The sequence below is a fragment of the Homo sapiens genome, chromosome 11 (assembly GCF_000001405.40).
Source record: "Homo sapiens chromosome 11, GRCh38.p14 Primary Assembly".
Taxonomy (NCBI): Eukaryota; Metazoa; Chordata; class Mammalia; order Primates; family Hominidae; genus Homo; species Homo sapiens.
In genome coordinates this window covers 129,028,250-129,044,557 of record NC_000011.10, presented here as the reverse complement: position 1 = coordinate 129,044,557, position 16,308 = coordinate 129,028,250, and the positions used below count along the sequence as shown (strand labels likewise).

The window sequence follows — 16,308 nt, the reverse complement described above, 5'->3', positions numbered from 1 at the left end:
TCTGGTAGCCAAATACTGGGATAATAATAGCATTTACTTATGCATTAACCCATTTATGCTTAGTGTTCCATTATTGGAACGCTAAGCTTGTGGGAGTTATTTATATCTTACTGCTCAAGGTCATCGCCAAGTTCTGATTTTTCACAAAAAAATTTTGCAACCTCTGCCATAAATGGGTTAAAGCTTTAGAAATTGCCACGGCTGCAGAAAGAATAATGTACGAAACAGGCTGCCGTAGTTAATAGATCATGTTGTTACTAGACCATTTAGTTAACAAATCAATGCATTTTACTCTATGCATTTTATTTATACTAGCCCATTTAATTCTCATAACATCCCTTATGAGATAGGCATTATTATTACCATGTTTAGACGAAGAAACTAAAACACAAAGAGGCTAAGTTACAAACCTAATCTAGTGAGTGGCAGACTTAAGATTGAACCCAGATACTTCTTTTTTGTAGCCATGTGTTAGCTTTATATATAAAACATGATGAAAACTTGTTTAATATAAAACACTTTAATATAAAACATGATGAAAACTCAATTACAAGAGTTCGAAAGGGCAAGAAAAACCAATGAGTTTCCACTTTATTGCAAGTTTTAAAATCTGAGACTAGTTAAAAAAACTGATATGTTAATTTCAGATGAGGGTTAATTTTTTTCACCAACTAAAAATTACTATATGGGAAGATCAGTGCAACAAACAGTACAGTTTGCAAACCCAAGCCACAAACTTATTGTTAATAATCATGGTAAGAAACAGCCAAAGAGCAACTGATGCCTCAGTTAAGTTTGAAAGAAACTCTGCCTTCTGTGAAGGCAGAGAAGAAATATGCAAGCAATTCTCCTTCAAGAAATTTGCATAGAGTCAGGATGTGGTGACTCACGCCTGTAATCCCAGCACTTTGGGAGGCCAAGGTGAGTAGATCACCTGAGGTTGGGAGTTCACGACCAGCCTGACCAACATGGAGAAAACCCATCTCTACTAAAAATGCAAAAAATTAGCCGGGCATGGTGGCGCACGCGTATAATCCCAGTTACTTGGGAGGCTGAGGCAGGAGAATCGTTTGAACCTGGGAGGCGGAGGTTACAGTGAGCCGAGGTCGCGTCGTTGCACTTCAGACTGGGCAACAAGAACGAACCTCCGTTGCGCAAAAAAAAAAAAAAAAAAAAGAAAAAAAGAAATTTGCATAGAAAGAGAAAATGTTAGAGCCTTTACCACAAGTGAAATTGCAAAGCTTGAACATAATTCAACTCAATCCAGAGAGCACCAAACATCAAATTGGGGCCAAGGTAGAACTTGAACATTTAATTTCCAGCTATGTGACTTGGAGAGCACTATAATTTCAGATGTGGAAACCAGCTGCAGGTAGGCTCTTTTAGAAACATGAATTGTATACTCCATAAATTCTGAAACAAGGCAGATATTTGTACATTGTTACTTGAATTTCAGAAGGGTACCTCAAGGCATCAGGATCTTTTTCAGAGTCACTCTTGAAATAGTTGTATCTTCCCAGCCTTGGTAACCACCTTTTTACAGTTCTCTAGCCTTTGCATTGAAACACACCACTTTGTGGAATGACTTTTAACATTCTATCCGTCATGGCTTAAGATCCTGAAGCAGCTATTTCCAGGGCACCTCCCATCTCCTCGGCATGAGCAGTTTCCCAGTCACTTCTTCATCCCCCCAAGTCCTCTTCATGAGAGTCTCCAGAGCTCATAGCATCAAGGTCTCCATTGCTGGGACTCACACCGGAGACTACATCTGGAAGCTCCACTCCTCCAGCTCTCTCTGCTGGAGACCAAACTGACAGTTTATTGCAAAGACTTGTAAAAACAAAGATTATTTACAAATGCATTTTTGTATACATTTGTTTAATTTACGACCTGAGACTTTTATAATCGCTTTCCAAACCCTTTTATGGAGGGTGGAACACTTACTTGAGGCTACGCTGTTAACCATGTCCCATATCCCCTCTCATAACTGACTTGTGTAAGAAAAAAAAATGAAGATTTTTTTAAGTTGACTCTTACCTGGTTCTAATCAGTCTTGGAAGCATTTCTACTTGTTCCGTAAAATAGGAAGTTGAGTAGAATATATTAAAGAATTTCACCAGTAAAACAAATACCTAAAGCATCATTTTGGAAGGCAGTGCATAGGAATCCCAAATTCACATCTTGTGAACAAAACTGATAGTCTGATAATGATACCTCATCTCTACACAAAATAAACAAAATTAGCCAGGTGAGGTGGTGCATGCCCAGAGTCGCAGCTACTCAGGAGGCTGAGGTGCGAGAATTGTTTGAGCCTGGGGGATCGAGGCTGCAGTGAGCCTAGATTGTGCCACTGCACTCCAGCCTGGGTGACAGAATGAGACCCTGTCTCAAAAACAAAAAACAAAAAAACTGATAATCTGTTAATACCCCTTTTCAGCTCATGATAACTGGTTTATATCTTCACAATTTTAACAACTACCATAGAATATGGATCTAGAAATTGAAATAAGAATGTAGCAAATGAGTATGTGAAAATAATTTCACACAGATGGAAATTATACAGCTCAGAACTTGGTGATGAATCATACCCTTGGAAAACTATTCCATTCTTCCCCAGAGTCTGTCAACAGAGGGATACACAAAGTGATGGAGCTTTCATATTTCAGCTTTAACATCTGCTGCATGGCAGCCCATTTATATTTTTATCTAAGGAAACATCTATAAATATTGATAAAGATTTCCTCTTTGCTTTTGTTTCCAGGCTGTTTATCTCGGTATTTATCCTTTTGGCTATACAGTATCTCTGGATGATCTGGAACTCAGCATTTTCCTAATACGGCTTGTTACAATGCCAAAAGCAATGCCTGCGGTTCTGCTACTAGGTCACTGTGGTGTGTTCCTCAAAGCCAGAGTCTGTTGACACTGCTGAGATTGGCTGTTTTCTTCTCTCTTACTTTCCCTCTTTTCCATGCGCTACTAGTTTTTAAAAGCAGTGAATACCAGGATTTTAAATGAGAGATTATTTTACACATTTATTTTAGTCATGTCTTTTTTTTTTTTTTTTTATGAAACCTGGGAGAGAGTGAAGAGAAAATTCACAAAAAGTTTGAGTTGTGGCTTAGTGTTGATTTAAAAAACCCATAGAGAAGTCAATAAACATAAGTTGGCAACAGAGGTATCAACATAACTGGATTGAGATTTCAGTAAAGCGCATTATTAAATTATAAAATTTTACCTACTTGCATGCATAGCTCATTGTCAGACTAAATATTTTAATTCATGTAAAAAAAGATTGGGAAATTAAAAACTAAAAGGAAAAAAGCAGACTTAGATATTTGGACAAATAAAACAGATAACTTTATGTACTCATAGCAACAGATTGTTTTATTATTTGTTTGTGTAATTGGCATCATCTGTTATTTAGAGTCTTGGAATAATAGAATCATTTGGGAGGGACTGTAGAATACATTACTGGAATTCAGTTGGCAGTGTTCACATAATTGGTCTGTTTGCTGGTTTAGAATCCTTTCTTTGTTGCTTTTCATCAGGTGGGACTCTTCCCTGGACACTGTGTTGAGTTAATTAACCAAAAAGTTCCCCAGTCAGTGACCAACTCAGTGCCAAAACCAGGTGAGTACACTTTTTTCACTAGTGTAGTTATTTTATCAACTGCTTGAAGACACAGATTTTCTGTCAGTCAAGTATTTAGCTTGTTTTGCTAGTTTTGCATTTATAGGCATAATAATTAACATTCTTAATTTTATATGGTTTTGATTTTTAAATGTATTCTTATATCTCTGTTGATCATTTTGAAAAGGTTTACATGCACTCAAATTTTTAGGCAATTGCTCCATTAAGCTTTGTCATTATTTACTTTTATAGTTGCATAATAGCATTGTAACTTAATGAATAAAATGATTTAAAAAATAGGTTTAAAGAACTAACATAGAAATTGTAGGATTAACTGAAAATTAATAAATGAAAAGTAAGTATATTTTAACAGGGCATATGAACATCAAAACTATTTTAAACAGCATTTCTTATTACTTATACAGTATACTTACAGTGCTGCATAAATATCTAGAATATATTACAAATAAAGCATTGTTGAAGGGGATAAAAATCAAGAAAATGTGAATTTCGGTGTTTATTGAGGTGATTTAGTTTTGGGAAGATTCAACAGAATGCCTCATCTGAAACTTTTTGATGATGTCGATTAAAAAAAAATTCAAACAAAGTCTAAAAAGCTTTGGAGAGAAGAGGGAGTCATCCAACTTATTTTTCCTAGCTATATTACATTTCTTCTGTCCTTTCCCACCTCCCAATAAAAGGAGAAGAAAAAATTTCTGGGCCTCAGAATTAATTTGAACTGTTTACCTTATGATAGTATTTTCTAGTTTTAGGACCTGTATGTAAGAGTTAAGAAAAAAAAAACAGTTATTCTTTACTCTTTTGGTATTTTCCCACTTCTGCTCCCAAAGCTTACATCCAACAATCTTTGCTAATAGTATTTAAGTAAAGGTTAATAATACCTTTCAAAGCTTATTTCTTCACAGGAGACTAGGGAATCATTGTTCCCATTTCTCTCATTGGAATTTGTTTATTTTAGACTAACTTTATTGTTCAGTAGAGAAAATGCTTCAAAACAGTGTTTTCTGCAGTTCTACTTGAGTCAGGATTCTCAGTTCTTTTTGAAGCAATTTTATCCTTCTTGGGTAAACTTTTTTAAAAAGCTCCTAAGTGGGTACTTGTTTGGTAAATCTTCATTCGTAACTGTAGATTTCATTCTTTTTAAAAATACGGCGTTATTTTAAACTTAACTTTTTGAAAACTCAGCTTTATTAAGATAAAATTCGCATATCGTGCAATTTACCCTTTAAATTGTGTAACAGGGTTGTGCAGCCATCACCACAGTTAATTTTAGAACACCTTCATCACTTCATGAAGAAATCCCATATCCATTAGCGGACACTGCTCCCCTCATACTGCTCCCAGCCCTAAACAACCACTTGTCTACTTTCTGTCTTTATTGATTTCCCTATTCTGGACATTTTGTATAAATGGAATCATATAATGTGTGGTCTTTTGTGATGGGCTTCTTTTACTTAGCATAGTGTTTTCAAGATTCACCTGTGCAGTAGCATGTATCAGTACTTCTGTTTTAATTCCTTCTTTTTAAATAGCTGGATAACATTTCATTGTATGCATATGCCACATTTTATTTGTTTATTCATTTGGAGTTGTTTCCATTTTTGGCTTCTCTGAATATTCATGTACAATATTACATGTGGATATGTTTTAATTTCCCTTGGGTATATGTCCAGGTGTGGGATTGCTGGGTCATATGGTAACTATATTTAATCTTTGAAGAACTGCCAGCTGCACCATTGGTGTAACTGTACCATTTTGCAGTTCCACCAGCAGTGTATGAGACTTCCAGTTGCTCCATATCCTTGTCAACACTTGTTTTTATTTGGATTTTTTTGATTATTGCCTTCTTAATTGTGAAGTAGTATCTCACTGTGGATTTGACTTGCATTTTGTTTTTGGCTAATCATGTTTAGTCATTTTATATGTGCTTATTGGTTATGTGTTCATCTTCTTTGGAGGGTATCTATTCATATCCTTTGCTTATTCTTTTTTCTTTTTCTTTTTTTTTTTTTTTTTTTCGAGACAGGGTCTTTCTTTGTCACCACAGGCTGCAGTGCAGTGTTGTGATCATAGCTCACTGCAGCCCTCAACTCCAGGCCTCAAATGATCCTTCTGACTCAGCCTGCTGAATGACTGACATTACACGTGCATGCCGCTGTGCCCAGCTAATTTTTAAATTTTTTGTAGAGATGAGGTCTTGCTTTGTTGCCCAGATTGGTCTCAAACTCCTGGTTTCAAGTGATCCTTCCACCTCAACCTCCCACTTTTGCCCAGTTTTTAATTGGGTTATTTGTGTTTTTTTTAGTGAGTTGTAAATGTTGCTCATATATTCTAGATACAAATTCTTTACCAGATAATAATGATTTACAAATATTTTCACCTGTTTTGTGGTTTGTCTTTGACTTTCTTTGGTAGTATCCATTGATGCATACAAGTTTTTACTTTTGATGTTTCTTTAGTCATTTATGCTTTTGATTCCTTATTTAAGAAGGCTTTGGCTAACCCACAGTCATGATTTACTCCTGTGTTTTCTTCTGAGAGGTTTACAGTTTTAGATGTTACATATTAGTCTATGACCCATTTTTTAAAGTTAATTTGTGTGTATGGTGATGAGGCAGGGGTCCAACTTCATGAGGTTATCCAATTGTTCTAGCACTGTTTGTTGAAAAGATTATTTCTTTCCTGTTGAATTACCTTGATACCCTTGGAAAAATCAATTGACCCTAGACACAGTTGACCCTAGATTTATTCCTGAATTTCCAGTTTTCTTCCATTGATTTATATGTCTTTTTTTGTTCGTTTTTTTGAGGCAGAGTCTTGCTCTGTCACCCAGGTTGGAGTGCAGTGGTGCGATCTCGGCTCACTGCAACCTCCGCCTCCTGAGTTCAAGCAATTCTCTTGCCTCAGCCTCCGGAGTAGCTGGGATTACAGGTGTGTGCCACCACACCTGGCTGATTTTTATATTTTTGATAGAGATGGGGTTTCATCATGTTGGCCAGGCTGGTCTTAAACTCCTGACATCGTGATCCGCCCACCTCGGCCTCCCAAAGTGCTGGGATTACAGGCATGAGCCACCGTGCCCAGTCTCTATATGTGTTTTCTTATGCCAATAGTACCCTGTTTTCATTACTGTTGTTTTGTAGTAAGTTTTGCAGTGGGGAAGTGTAAGTCATCCTACTTTTTTCTTCTTTTTAAGGGTTGATTTGGCTTTTCTGGGCCCCTTGTAATTCCTTATGGCTTTAGAATCAGCTTGTCAGTTTCTACAGAGTAGGATGGGATTCTGATAGAGAGTATATTGAACCTGTAGATCAACTCGGGAAATATTATTAACAGTATTAAGTCTTCTAATCCCTGAACAAGGGATGTTTTTCATTTATTTAGATATTCTTTTGTATTTTTAATTTTTTTTCTTTGGAGACAGTGTCTTGCTTTGTTGCCCAGGCTGGAGTGCGATGGTGTGATCATAGTTCACAAGTCCTCAAACTCCTGGGCTCAAGGCATCTTTCCACCTCAGCCTCCTGAGTAGCTAGTACTACAGGCATGTGCCACTGTGCCAGGATAATTTGTTAGTTTTTTGTAGCAATGTCTCACTGTGTTGCATAGGCTGGTCCTGAACTCCTGGCCTTAAGTGATCCTCCCGCATGAGCCTCCAAAAGTGCTGGGATTATAGGCATGAGCCACTAGGCCCAGTCAGTCTAGACATTCTTTAATTTATTTCAATATTTTGTAGTTTTCAGAGTATAAGTTTTATATATCTTTTGTTGAATTTCTTTATAAATATATTCAATTCTTTTTAATGCTATTGTACCGGGAATTTTAACATTTCATTTTCTTATTGTTCATGGCAAGTCCATAGGAATATAATTTTTGTATGTTGATGTTATATCTTGAAGCCTTGCTGAACTGTTTATTAGTTCTAATAGTTTCATAGTGGATTCCTTGGGATTTTCTATATACAAGATTATGGTATCTACAGTAGCCACTTTTTACTTCTTCCCTTCCAATCTGGATGTCTTTTTATTGTTCTTGCCCAGTGGTCCTTGTGAGAACCTCTAATACAATATTGAATATAAATCTCAAGTACAAGCATCCGTGTCTTGTTCCTGATTTTAGGGGAAATCATCTAGTCTTTTACCATTAAGTAGCTGTGGGGGTTTCATAGATGTCCTTTATCAGGGTTGAGAAAGTTCCCTTCTGTTTCTTGTGTGTCAAGTGTTTAAAAGAGTGCAGGAATTTTTCCAAAGGCTTTTATTCATCTGTTGAGATTATAATGGGTTTTTATGGTCATTATTTTGAAGTTACTAAAATTCAACATCAAACATTTAATTTCCTGCACATATTTTTATCCATCTTTCTGTGGTGTAAGCTTAACTTATATTAGTTATTATGTCTCATCTTTGATAGTATTGACTCAGATGTACTATAAATTGGGTTTTTAAAACTTAGCCTAATATTGGCATTAAAATAAACTGTGTTAGTATCAATCAAGTGCTTTCTCTCTTTTTTTTTTTTTTTTTTTTTTTTTTGAGACGGAGTTTCGCTCTTGTTGCCCAGGCTGGAGTGCAATGGCGCGATCTCAGCTCACTGCAACCTCCGCCTCCTAGGTTCAAGCGATTCTCCTGCCTTAGCCTCCCGAGTAGCTGGGATTACAGGCATATGCCACCATGCCCGGCTAACTTTTTGTATTTTTCATAGAAACGGGTTTTCTCCATGTTGGTCAGGCTGGTCTCAAACTCCTGACCTCAGGTGATCCGCCCACCTCAGCCTCCCAAAGTGCTGGGATTACAGGTGTGAGCCACCGTGCCTGGCCCATTCTCATGTTTTGAATGGAGAAATGACACTTCAAGTAGGGATAACCTCCAGAACCATTTAGCATTGGGAAAGTTAATCAGTTATTGATAGTTCTGGAAAACAGGTTTGTATTTGTAGACCTGCATAGCATTGTTATTTCTAAATTAAGAATGACCAAGAAAAACCTAGCGTACCTTCAAAAGCTAGTATTTTGTCTTCTGTGAGCAGCATTGCAGAGTTGGCATAAGGAAATGTGCTTTTTTTTTCTTTTTTTGATGGAGTCTTGCTCTGTCACCCAGGCTGGAGTGCGGTGGCGTGATCTCGGCTCACTGCAACCTCCGCCTTCCAGGTTCAAGCAATTCTCCTGCCTCTGCCTCCTGAGTAGCTGGGATTACAGACACATGCCGCCACGACCTGCTAATTTTTATATTTTTAGTAGAGGTGAGGTTTCATGTTGACCACCTGGTCTCGAACTCCTGACCTCAAGTGATCCGCCTGCCTTGGCTTCCCAAAGTGCTGGGATTACAGGCATGAGCCACTGTACCCAGCCAAAATGTACATTCTTAATACATTTTGAAAAGGATGATGTGAATTCTGTCAGCCTTGGGCTTGTTTCACACTTTAAAACTGTCTTTGCCTACGGTATAAACAACTTGAATGTTCTATTTATTTTTAACATTGCCATCTGTCACTGTTAGATGCCAAATCTGAAAGATACAGCTATAGTTTGAGACTGAAAATTTCAAGTTCCTATACTATTACACAACAAGGGTAACATAGGAAAAATATTCTCTTTGAATCTGTTCTTAAATGTTATTAATATGTTCAATTATTTGTGTGTACAGAAAATTAATCACCATATCCTGACCAAGATAGAAAGTACCCATGGTACCTTAGGAAAAAGAAGGTAAGAGTTTGATAGAGAGAGAGAGAGAGAGAGAGGAGAGGAAACAAAAGAGGGGGAAGCTTGTCTATAAGAAATTGTCATTTTATTCAGTCACCCTAGGGCATGATATAGTGGAAGATGAGGTCTAGGTGGGGAAAGGTGGAAGGGGAAGCACATGTTTTTCTTTGTGTTTGTTTTGCTTGCAAGTCACTGAGGAGCTATTTACTGACACTTTTCTTGAAGGCTTTATGTTCATAGCTATTCTCTTTTCAGATATTTCTTTTTCCGAATTCTCTTTCTCCTCTCCTTTACATATCAGTTACATTATTTGATATTGTCTCACAGATCTCAGACTCTGTTTTTTCTTTTTTTTTTTTTACTCTGTTTTCTTTTTCTTCTTTTTCTTTTTTTTGAGACAGTTTCGCTCTGTCTCCCAGGCCAGAGTGCAGTGGCACGATCTCCTGTTTTCTTTTTTTCTCTCTCTCTTTTTTTTTTTTTTTTGTTTTCAGTTTGGATACTTTCTGTTGTCCTATCATCAAGTTCAGTGATTCCTCACTCTGCTATGTGTGGTCAGTCTTCTCTTAAGGCCACCTAACACATTCTTCAATTCTCGTATTTTTCTTTTCTCGCATAAAGCTAAATGGTCTTTTTACAATAATTGCTATGCTGGAATTCCCCATCTTTTTGCATCATCCACCTTTTCCACCAGAAAGAAAGAAAGAGGAGGGGTGGGGGATAGAAGAGAGAAGAGGGAAAGAGTGGGAGAAATGGAGAACAGAGAAGAAAAGCAAGCAGAGCTTATTTTGAGGCATTAACTTCTGGAAATAAAAGACTAGTGATTTAGGCAACCTTCCCTCTGAGGACAGTTAAAAAATTTTGACAGAAGTATAAAAACATATCTTTGAAGCATTAGAGAGTTAATAAAACTGTAAGCAATTATTGTGATAAGGTGATGAAACAGAAGGAAATCTGAAGAGTGACCCCTGCATATGGAGACATTATTCCCCTAGGATATCTGCTGATGGAGTAGAGGAGGTCATCATAGTGCTAGGGGAACAAAAATTGGAGGTCAGAACCCATCAAGACAGAGTTGCTGAAAAATGCCCCAAGCTTTGAGTTGGAATCTATGTAGAAATTGATGACTGATTCTAAAATGTATATGGAAATACAGAGCCAAGAATACCAAAGACGATTTAGAAGAACAAAAAAGTGGGAAACTTACTGTAATAGATGTCAAGATATATTGTGAAAGCTTCACTAATTACGACGTTGGTATAGATGTGTACAGATAGACCAATAGATCAATGGAACAGAATAGAGTCCAGAAACAAACCTGTGTCTATATAGATACTTGATTTATGACAAAGGTGGCATTGGAGGGCAGTTTCAAAAGAACAGTCATTTCAATAAAGAGTACTGAGTCAGCTGGACATCTGAATATAAAAAAAGAGAAGCCTGATCCTTATTTAACCCCATACACAAAAATCCATTCCAGGAGAATTACAAATCTGTATGTGAAAGACGAAACAATAAAACTTTTAGAAGATAATACTATAGAATATCTTTATGACCTTGGCTTTAGACATAGTATTAATTATAACTGAAAAGCTTAATAATTAAACAATTAAAAGGAAGAACTTTATCATAATATGCCCTTAAGACAGTGAAAGGGCAGATTACAGTGTGGGAAGATATTTGCAGAATGCGTATCTGACAAAGGAGTTGTAAAGAGTCTTTAGGAAAATGCAGATCGAAGCCTTATTGACTCTTTAGTACATACTTAACCAGAATAATTAAAATTTAAGGATAATGATATCTAAGGTTGGCAAGAATATACATTAATAGGAATTCTCATATGCTGATGATGGGAGTATTAATTTGGGACAATCATTGGCATTATCTATTGAAGTTGATACACAACTGTAACCCAGCAGTTCCACTTTTAGATGTATATAGAGATTCATGTACACAGACTAAGACACATGCATAGAAATGTTGATAACAGCTTTATTTCCATTTGTTAAAAACTGGCAAAACTTATGGGTGTATACATGGTGGAATGAATAAATGAAGATATATACAGTAAATTCCCCTACACCAGTAAAAATGAATGAGTTAAAACTGTTTGCAACAACATGATTGAATCTCACAAAAAATAGTATTGAATGTCCTGATATACACACTTACACTGTAAAGTTTCATGTATACATGTAGAGAGTTCAAAATCCTAAGAGTTCAAGACTGCTCTGTGGTATTAGAACTTAGGATAGCAGTTACCTTTGGAGAGGAAAGAGAAGGTCAGTGATTGGGATGGGCAGGAGAGAGGATTCTGGAGTACTGGTAATGTTCTGTTGATCCAGGTGGGAATTATACGGAAATGTCATGATATTGAGCATCTTTTTGTGTGCTTATTGCCCATTGTATATTTTCTTTGGATTAATGCCTATTTAAGTCTCTTTCTATTTTTGAATTGGTCACTTTGCATTTTTAAAAAATATTTTTTCCATCCAGATGAATATTCTTTGCAGTATTGCTTTAATACACAAATGTTGGAAATCATATTTTCAAAAAATACTTTTGGTACTTTTATACTGTAAATTACTTTGCATCCACCACAAAGTAAGTAGAAGCCTATGTACTAAACCAGAGAACTTTTTCTCTGATATATTGTTAAATGAAAAGGCAAATCACAGAACAGTAAAATCCCATTATAAATTCATAGAAAGAGGATCTAGAAGGCTATGTACGTAACTGCAAAGGGGAATGGGATTATGGAGACAGTAAGAAACATTTCATTTTTTCTCCATTTGGTTGTGTATTATTTAATTTTTTTATAATTGAAATGGAATAGTTCCCTTGGCCCCTTTGCAGGATTCAAAGCTCAGGGGCAGCACGCAGGTGAGTGGGTGCAGAGGCAAGGATGAGCACCTCTGGGCAACTGGTAGGAGCAGAACTCTGTGCAGGCCCATGGCAGCATCTAGAAGTTACCCACGACCCTTGGCGCCCCAGAGGGCATGTGTTACAGTGTGCTCTTTTACCGTTGCCATCCATGGGTGGCTCAAATGTTAACTCAGTGGAGGGTCAGTGTGACAGCCTCTTGCACTTGTATCCAAGTCCTTGTCTGGGGTCCAGGAAGAATCAGGATGCGCAAATGAATTGAAGGGTGGTGAATGTGGAGGATTTTATTGAGCGGTAGAAGTGGCTCTCAGAGGGATGGGGAGCTGGAAAGGGGATGGAGTGGAAAGGTGGTCCTCCCCTGGAGTTTGACCATGCCCAGCTGAACTCTCCTCTGAAGTCCTGCCGTCGAGCCCTCCCTCTGAAGTCAGTCTGCTTCTCTCAAACGTCCGGCTGCTTCTCTTATTCTCTGCTGCTCTACGGCTCTACTGCTCTGCTGGCAGGGCCTGGGGTTTTTATGGGCACAGGATAAGGAGCGGGTCAGGCCAAGGTGGTTTTGGAAAAGGCAACAATTGTAGGGGTGGGAAACAGGAATGCATGTTCTCACTTTGGGTCATAGGTCCAGGCTTGAGAGTGTGGCCCTTGCCAGGGACCACCCTCTTCTACCCAGTGTTTCCCTTTCTCCTGTCCGTATCACAATGAGCATGTATTATTTTGCAGAATATGAAGAAATAGATTGTAATCTCCTGTTAACTCTACCCTGCCCAAACAGGTAATTTCTAAGATCCTTCTTAATGCATCTACCCCATAAAATGGACACTAGTGACACTAGATTTAATGCAGGTGTTAAATTTATATACCTGTGTGAAAAGCAGCAGGGTTAAAGGGACAAAAGCTCAGGCAACCTTGGGTTCAATCCCTATGCCACATTTTATTGTCTGGGTATACACATTTGGCCTCTCTGATTTTCAATTTCCATAACTGAAAAGTGAGGCAAGATTATTATTTCAAAGATTATGGATAAGGTACTTAAGACCCCTGGATACTTAGTGAATGTCAACTGTTATTTATTGATTTGTGTTTATTTACTATGTTATTTAAATTCATGAGTATCAGAAACTATATTTAATTTATATAGATACTTATTTAAGATACTATTTATTGATATAAATCTACATGCCAAGATATCACAGTTGTGTTAGTCTATTCTAGCGTTGCTGTAAAGAAATACCTGAGATTGGGTAATTTATAAAGAAAAGAGGTTTAATTGGCTCACAGTTCTGCAGGCTGTCCAGGAAGCATGGCACTGGCATCTGCTCGGCTTCTAGAAAGGCCTCAGGGAGCATTTACTTATGGTTGAAAGCGAAGTGGGAGCAGGCACCTCATGTGGCAGGAGTAGGAGCAAGAGAGAGTGGCAGAGAGTACCACATACTTATACAACCAGATCTCACGAGTATTCACTATGCAAGTACAGCTCCAAGCCATGAGGGATCTGCCCCTGTGACCAAAACACCTCCTGCTAGGCCCCACCTCCAGCACTGGGGATTACAATTGAACATGAGATTTGAGTGGGGACAAATATCTAAACTATATCACAGTACATGAAGGAAACATTCATTACAGTAGTTTTCACAGAACCATGGTGGGGGAAGGAGCTTCTTTGAATGGTCTAAGAATTTGCATCACAAATTTCTGTTTTATTTGAAGATAACTTTTTTTTTGTTAACAGATATACATTAAAGCTGAGACCTTTTTTTTTTCTTTAAGACTAGTTAAGTGCATGTGTGAGAAGACAGAAAAGAGTAGAACAGGGAAATAGATCTGTAACTGACATGGGTACAATCTATTGAGATAACTCAGTAACTTTGGACCAGCCGGGCTTTTATTTGTAGTGTTGTTTCAGGAAACCAGTCCTCTAGTATCTTGCTTTTTATGTTATTTTACATTCAGTATTACCTAATTCCAGTTGTTTTGTTCTAAATTTTCACTTGCTTGCTCCTGGATTGTTTCTATTTTCTTTCTTTTTTCAGTTTCCAACACTTTTTGCTCTTTTGTAGCCATGTTTCTTTGCATGTCACTTTAGTAAGAAGTGACCACACATTTATATGTCAACTAAAAGAGGTCCAGGTTTTTACTTACTCTATTTGGAGTGTTGCACCGAATATGAATATGCTTCCCATTGAACAAATGCTTAAGTGTGTTAAGAATCAGATTGTTAAAATCCCTACCTTCAGAGGCACTGATGAAAGAGTCAAAGGAGTACTAAAATGCTAAAGTGCCTTGGGAAGCTTTCTCCCCAAATACATTGCAAAGGATAGATCAAGATAATATTTTCTCACTCTGTATCAGGGGAAAACAGAAAATTTATAATACCATGTATTTATAAAGTGCTTTAGGGTTTATGAATACTTACATTTCCATTGTTTAAACTGGACATGAATCTGGTCACAACCCTGTGAGCTTGCTAGGGATAGGGAATGTATTTCCATCCCCTCCCCTTCCTACCCGTTTTTTTTTTTTTTTTTTTTTTTTTGAGACGGAGTCTCCCTCTGTCCCCCAGGCTGCAGTGCAGTGGTGCGATCTCGGCTCACTGCAAGCTCCGCCTCCCGGGTTCACGCCATTCTCCTGCCTCAGCCTCCCGAGTAGCTGGGACTACAGGCGCCTGCACCACGCCCGGCTAATTTTTTGTATTTTTAGTAGAGACGGGGTTTCACCGTGTTAGCCAGGATGGTCTCGATCTCCTGACCTCATGATCCACACGTCTCGGCCTCCCAAAGTGCTGGGATTACAGGCGTGAGCCACCGTGCCCGGCCCCTACCCTTTTTTAACAAATGGAGCAACTGGAAGCTTAAGACACCTGCCTGAGGCTTCACAAGTAGGATTTGCTGAAATCTCCTGACACCTGATGGTAATCACAGCCAGCGCTTACATATCCCTGACTGCGCACCAAGCCCTGTGCCATGCACCTGACATGGGTTAACTAGCTTGTGTGCAGGTAGTTAATGCAAAACCCAGAATTCTGCCCACTATAGAACCTTGAATAGACATAAAGATTTTTGTTCTCTCTGTCAAAACAAAAATTTAATTCCTTTTGCTTTTACTACAATAGGAGTAAATAAAATGTGTTTACATTTTTATAAGGCCTATATAAACAGAACAGAAATTAGGGCAAAAGATGGGCTGAATTGAGGTTAAAGAGAATTGCTTATAGGAACCTACTTAATTTGCTAATTTTGTTTTCAGTCATCGTCCCTTCCTAATGCCACTTTAATTTAAAAAAATCTTTTAATTTTTCTTCACTATGCATAAAAAATATCCCCAAACTCTCTTACATTGTAGCATTTCCAGTCATTCTTTTCCATTTTCTTAGTATAGTATTTCTCCCTGTGTACTTGACTGGAATCTCCTTGTGTTTTCTGAACATGGCATGTGGCTTCATAGCTTTCACTTTGCTCCTGCTGTTCCTACACCCTGAAATGCCTTCCCCATTTTGGCCAGTTGAAATCCTGCTTATATTTCAAGACTCAGGCCAGAATCCACTTCTTCCATGAAAGCTTCCCTGACCCACCTCTCCCTAATCCCATCTCCTCTCCACCACTAGTCCACTAGTGCAAATTTAATAGCAGTTATTTCACATATTCACTAAATTGTACTTTCTTCATAAGTGACAAACATGTCATTCATCTTCATCTCCTCCCCAGGCTGTGTGTGTAGTGGTTACACAACGAATGCCTGTTGAATTAATCCATCCTAGTATTTACTATCAAATTAAAATTTTGGAGTACAGCTTTCATCATGTAACTCTTATCTTCAGAATATTTGGGTGAATCCTCCCTCTATGCCAGAATTAGATACAAAATTTTCAGTGTAGAATTGAAGGTGTTTCACAAATAGTGGAACTAACTTATCTTTGCAGCCATTTTTTCCCCCCATTTCTTACCTATATTCAGCTTCACTAACGTGTTTCCTTACTCTCTTCCCAAGGTACTCTGGGCTTCCCCCTTCCCTCGCTTGTGACTGACTTACCATTTTTTTGTGTGAAGGTTCCCTAGGCCACTCTTTGACAAACTTGAATTTGCATTCAG

The 16,308-nt window shown here is 37.8% G+C and overlaps 1 protein-coding gene across 14 annotated transcripts in view; it reads left to right on the top strand.

The window, feature by feature from the left end:
- The window catches only part of ARHGAP32 (Rho GTPase activating protein 32), a 314,573-nt gene that overhangs the window by 235,075 nt on the left and 63,190 nt on the right, over positions 1-16,308 (top strand). For 13 of the 14 annotated variants that reach the window (XM_047427929.1, XM_047427927.1, NM_001378025.1 and 10 more), the window contains one exon: positions 3,549-3,630. The exons of the other annotated variant lie outside the window; for it this stretch is intronic. In XM_047427929.1, the coding sequence (XP_047283885.1) occupies positions 3,549-3,630 (82 nt within the window). The remainder of the gene's footprint in view (positions 1-3,548; positions 3,631-16,308) is intronic. 14 annotated transcript variants of the gene reach the window in all.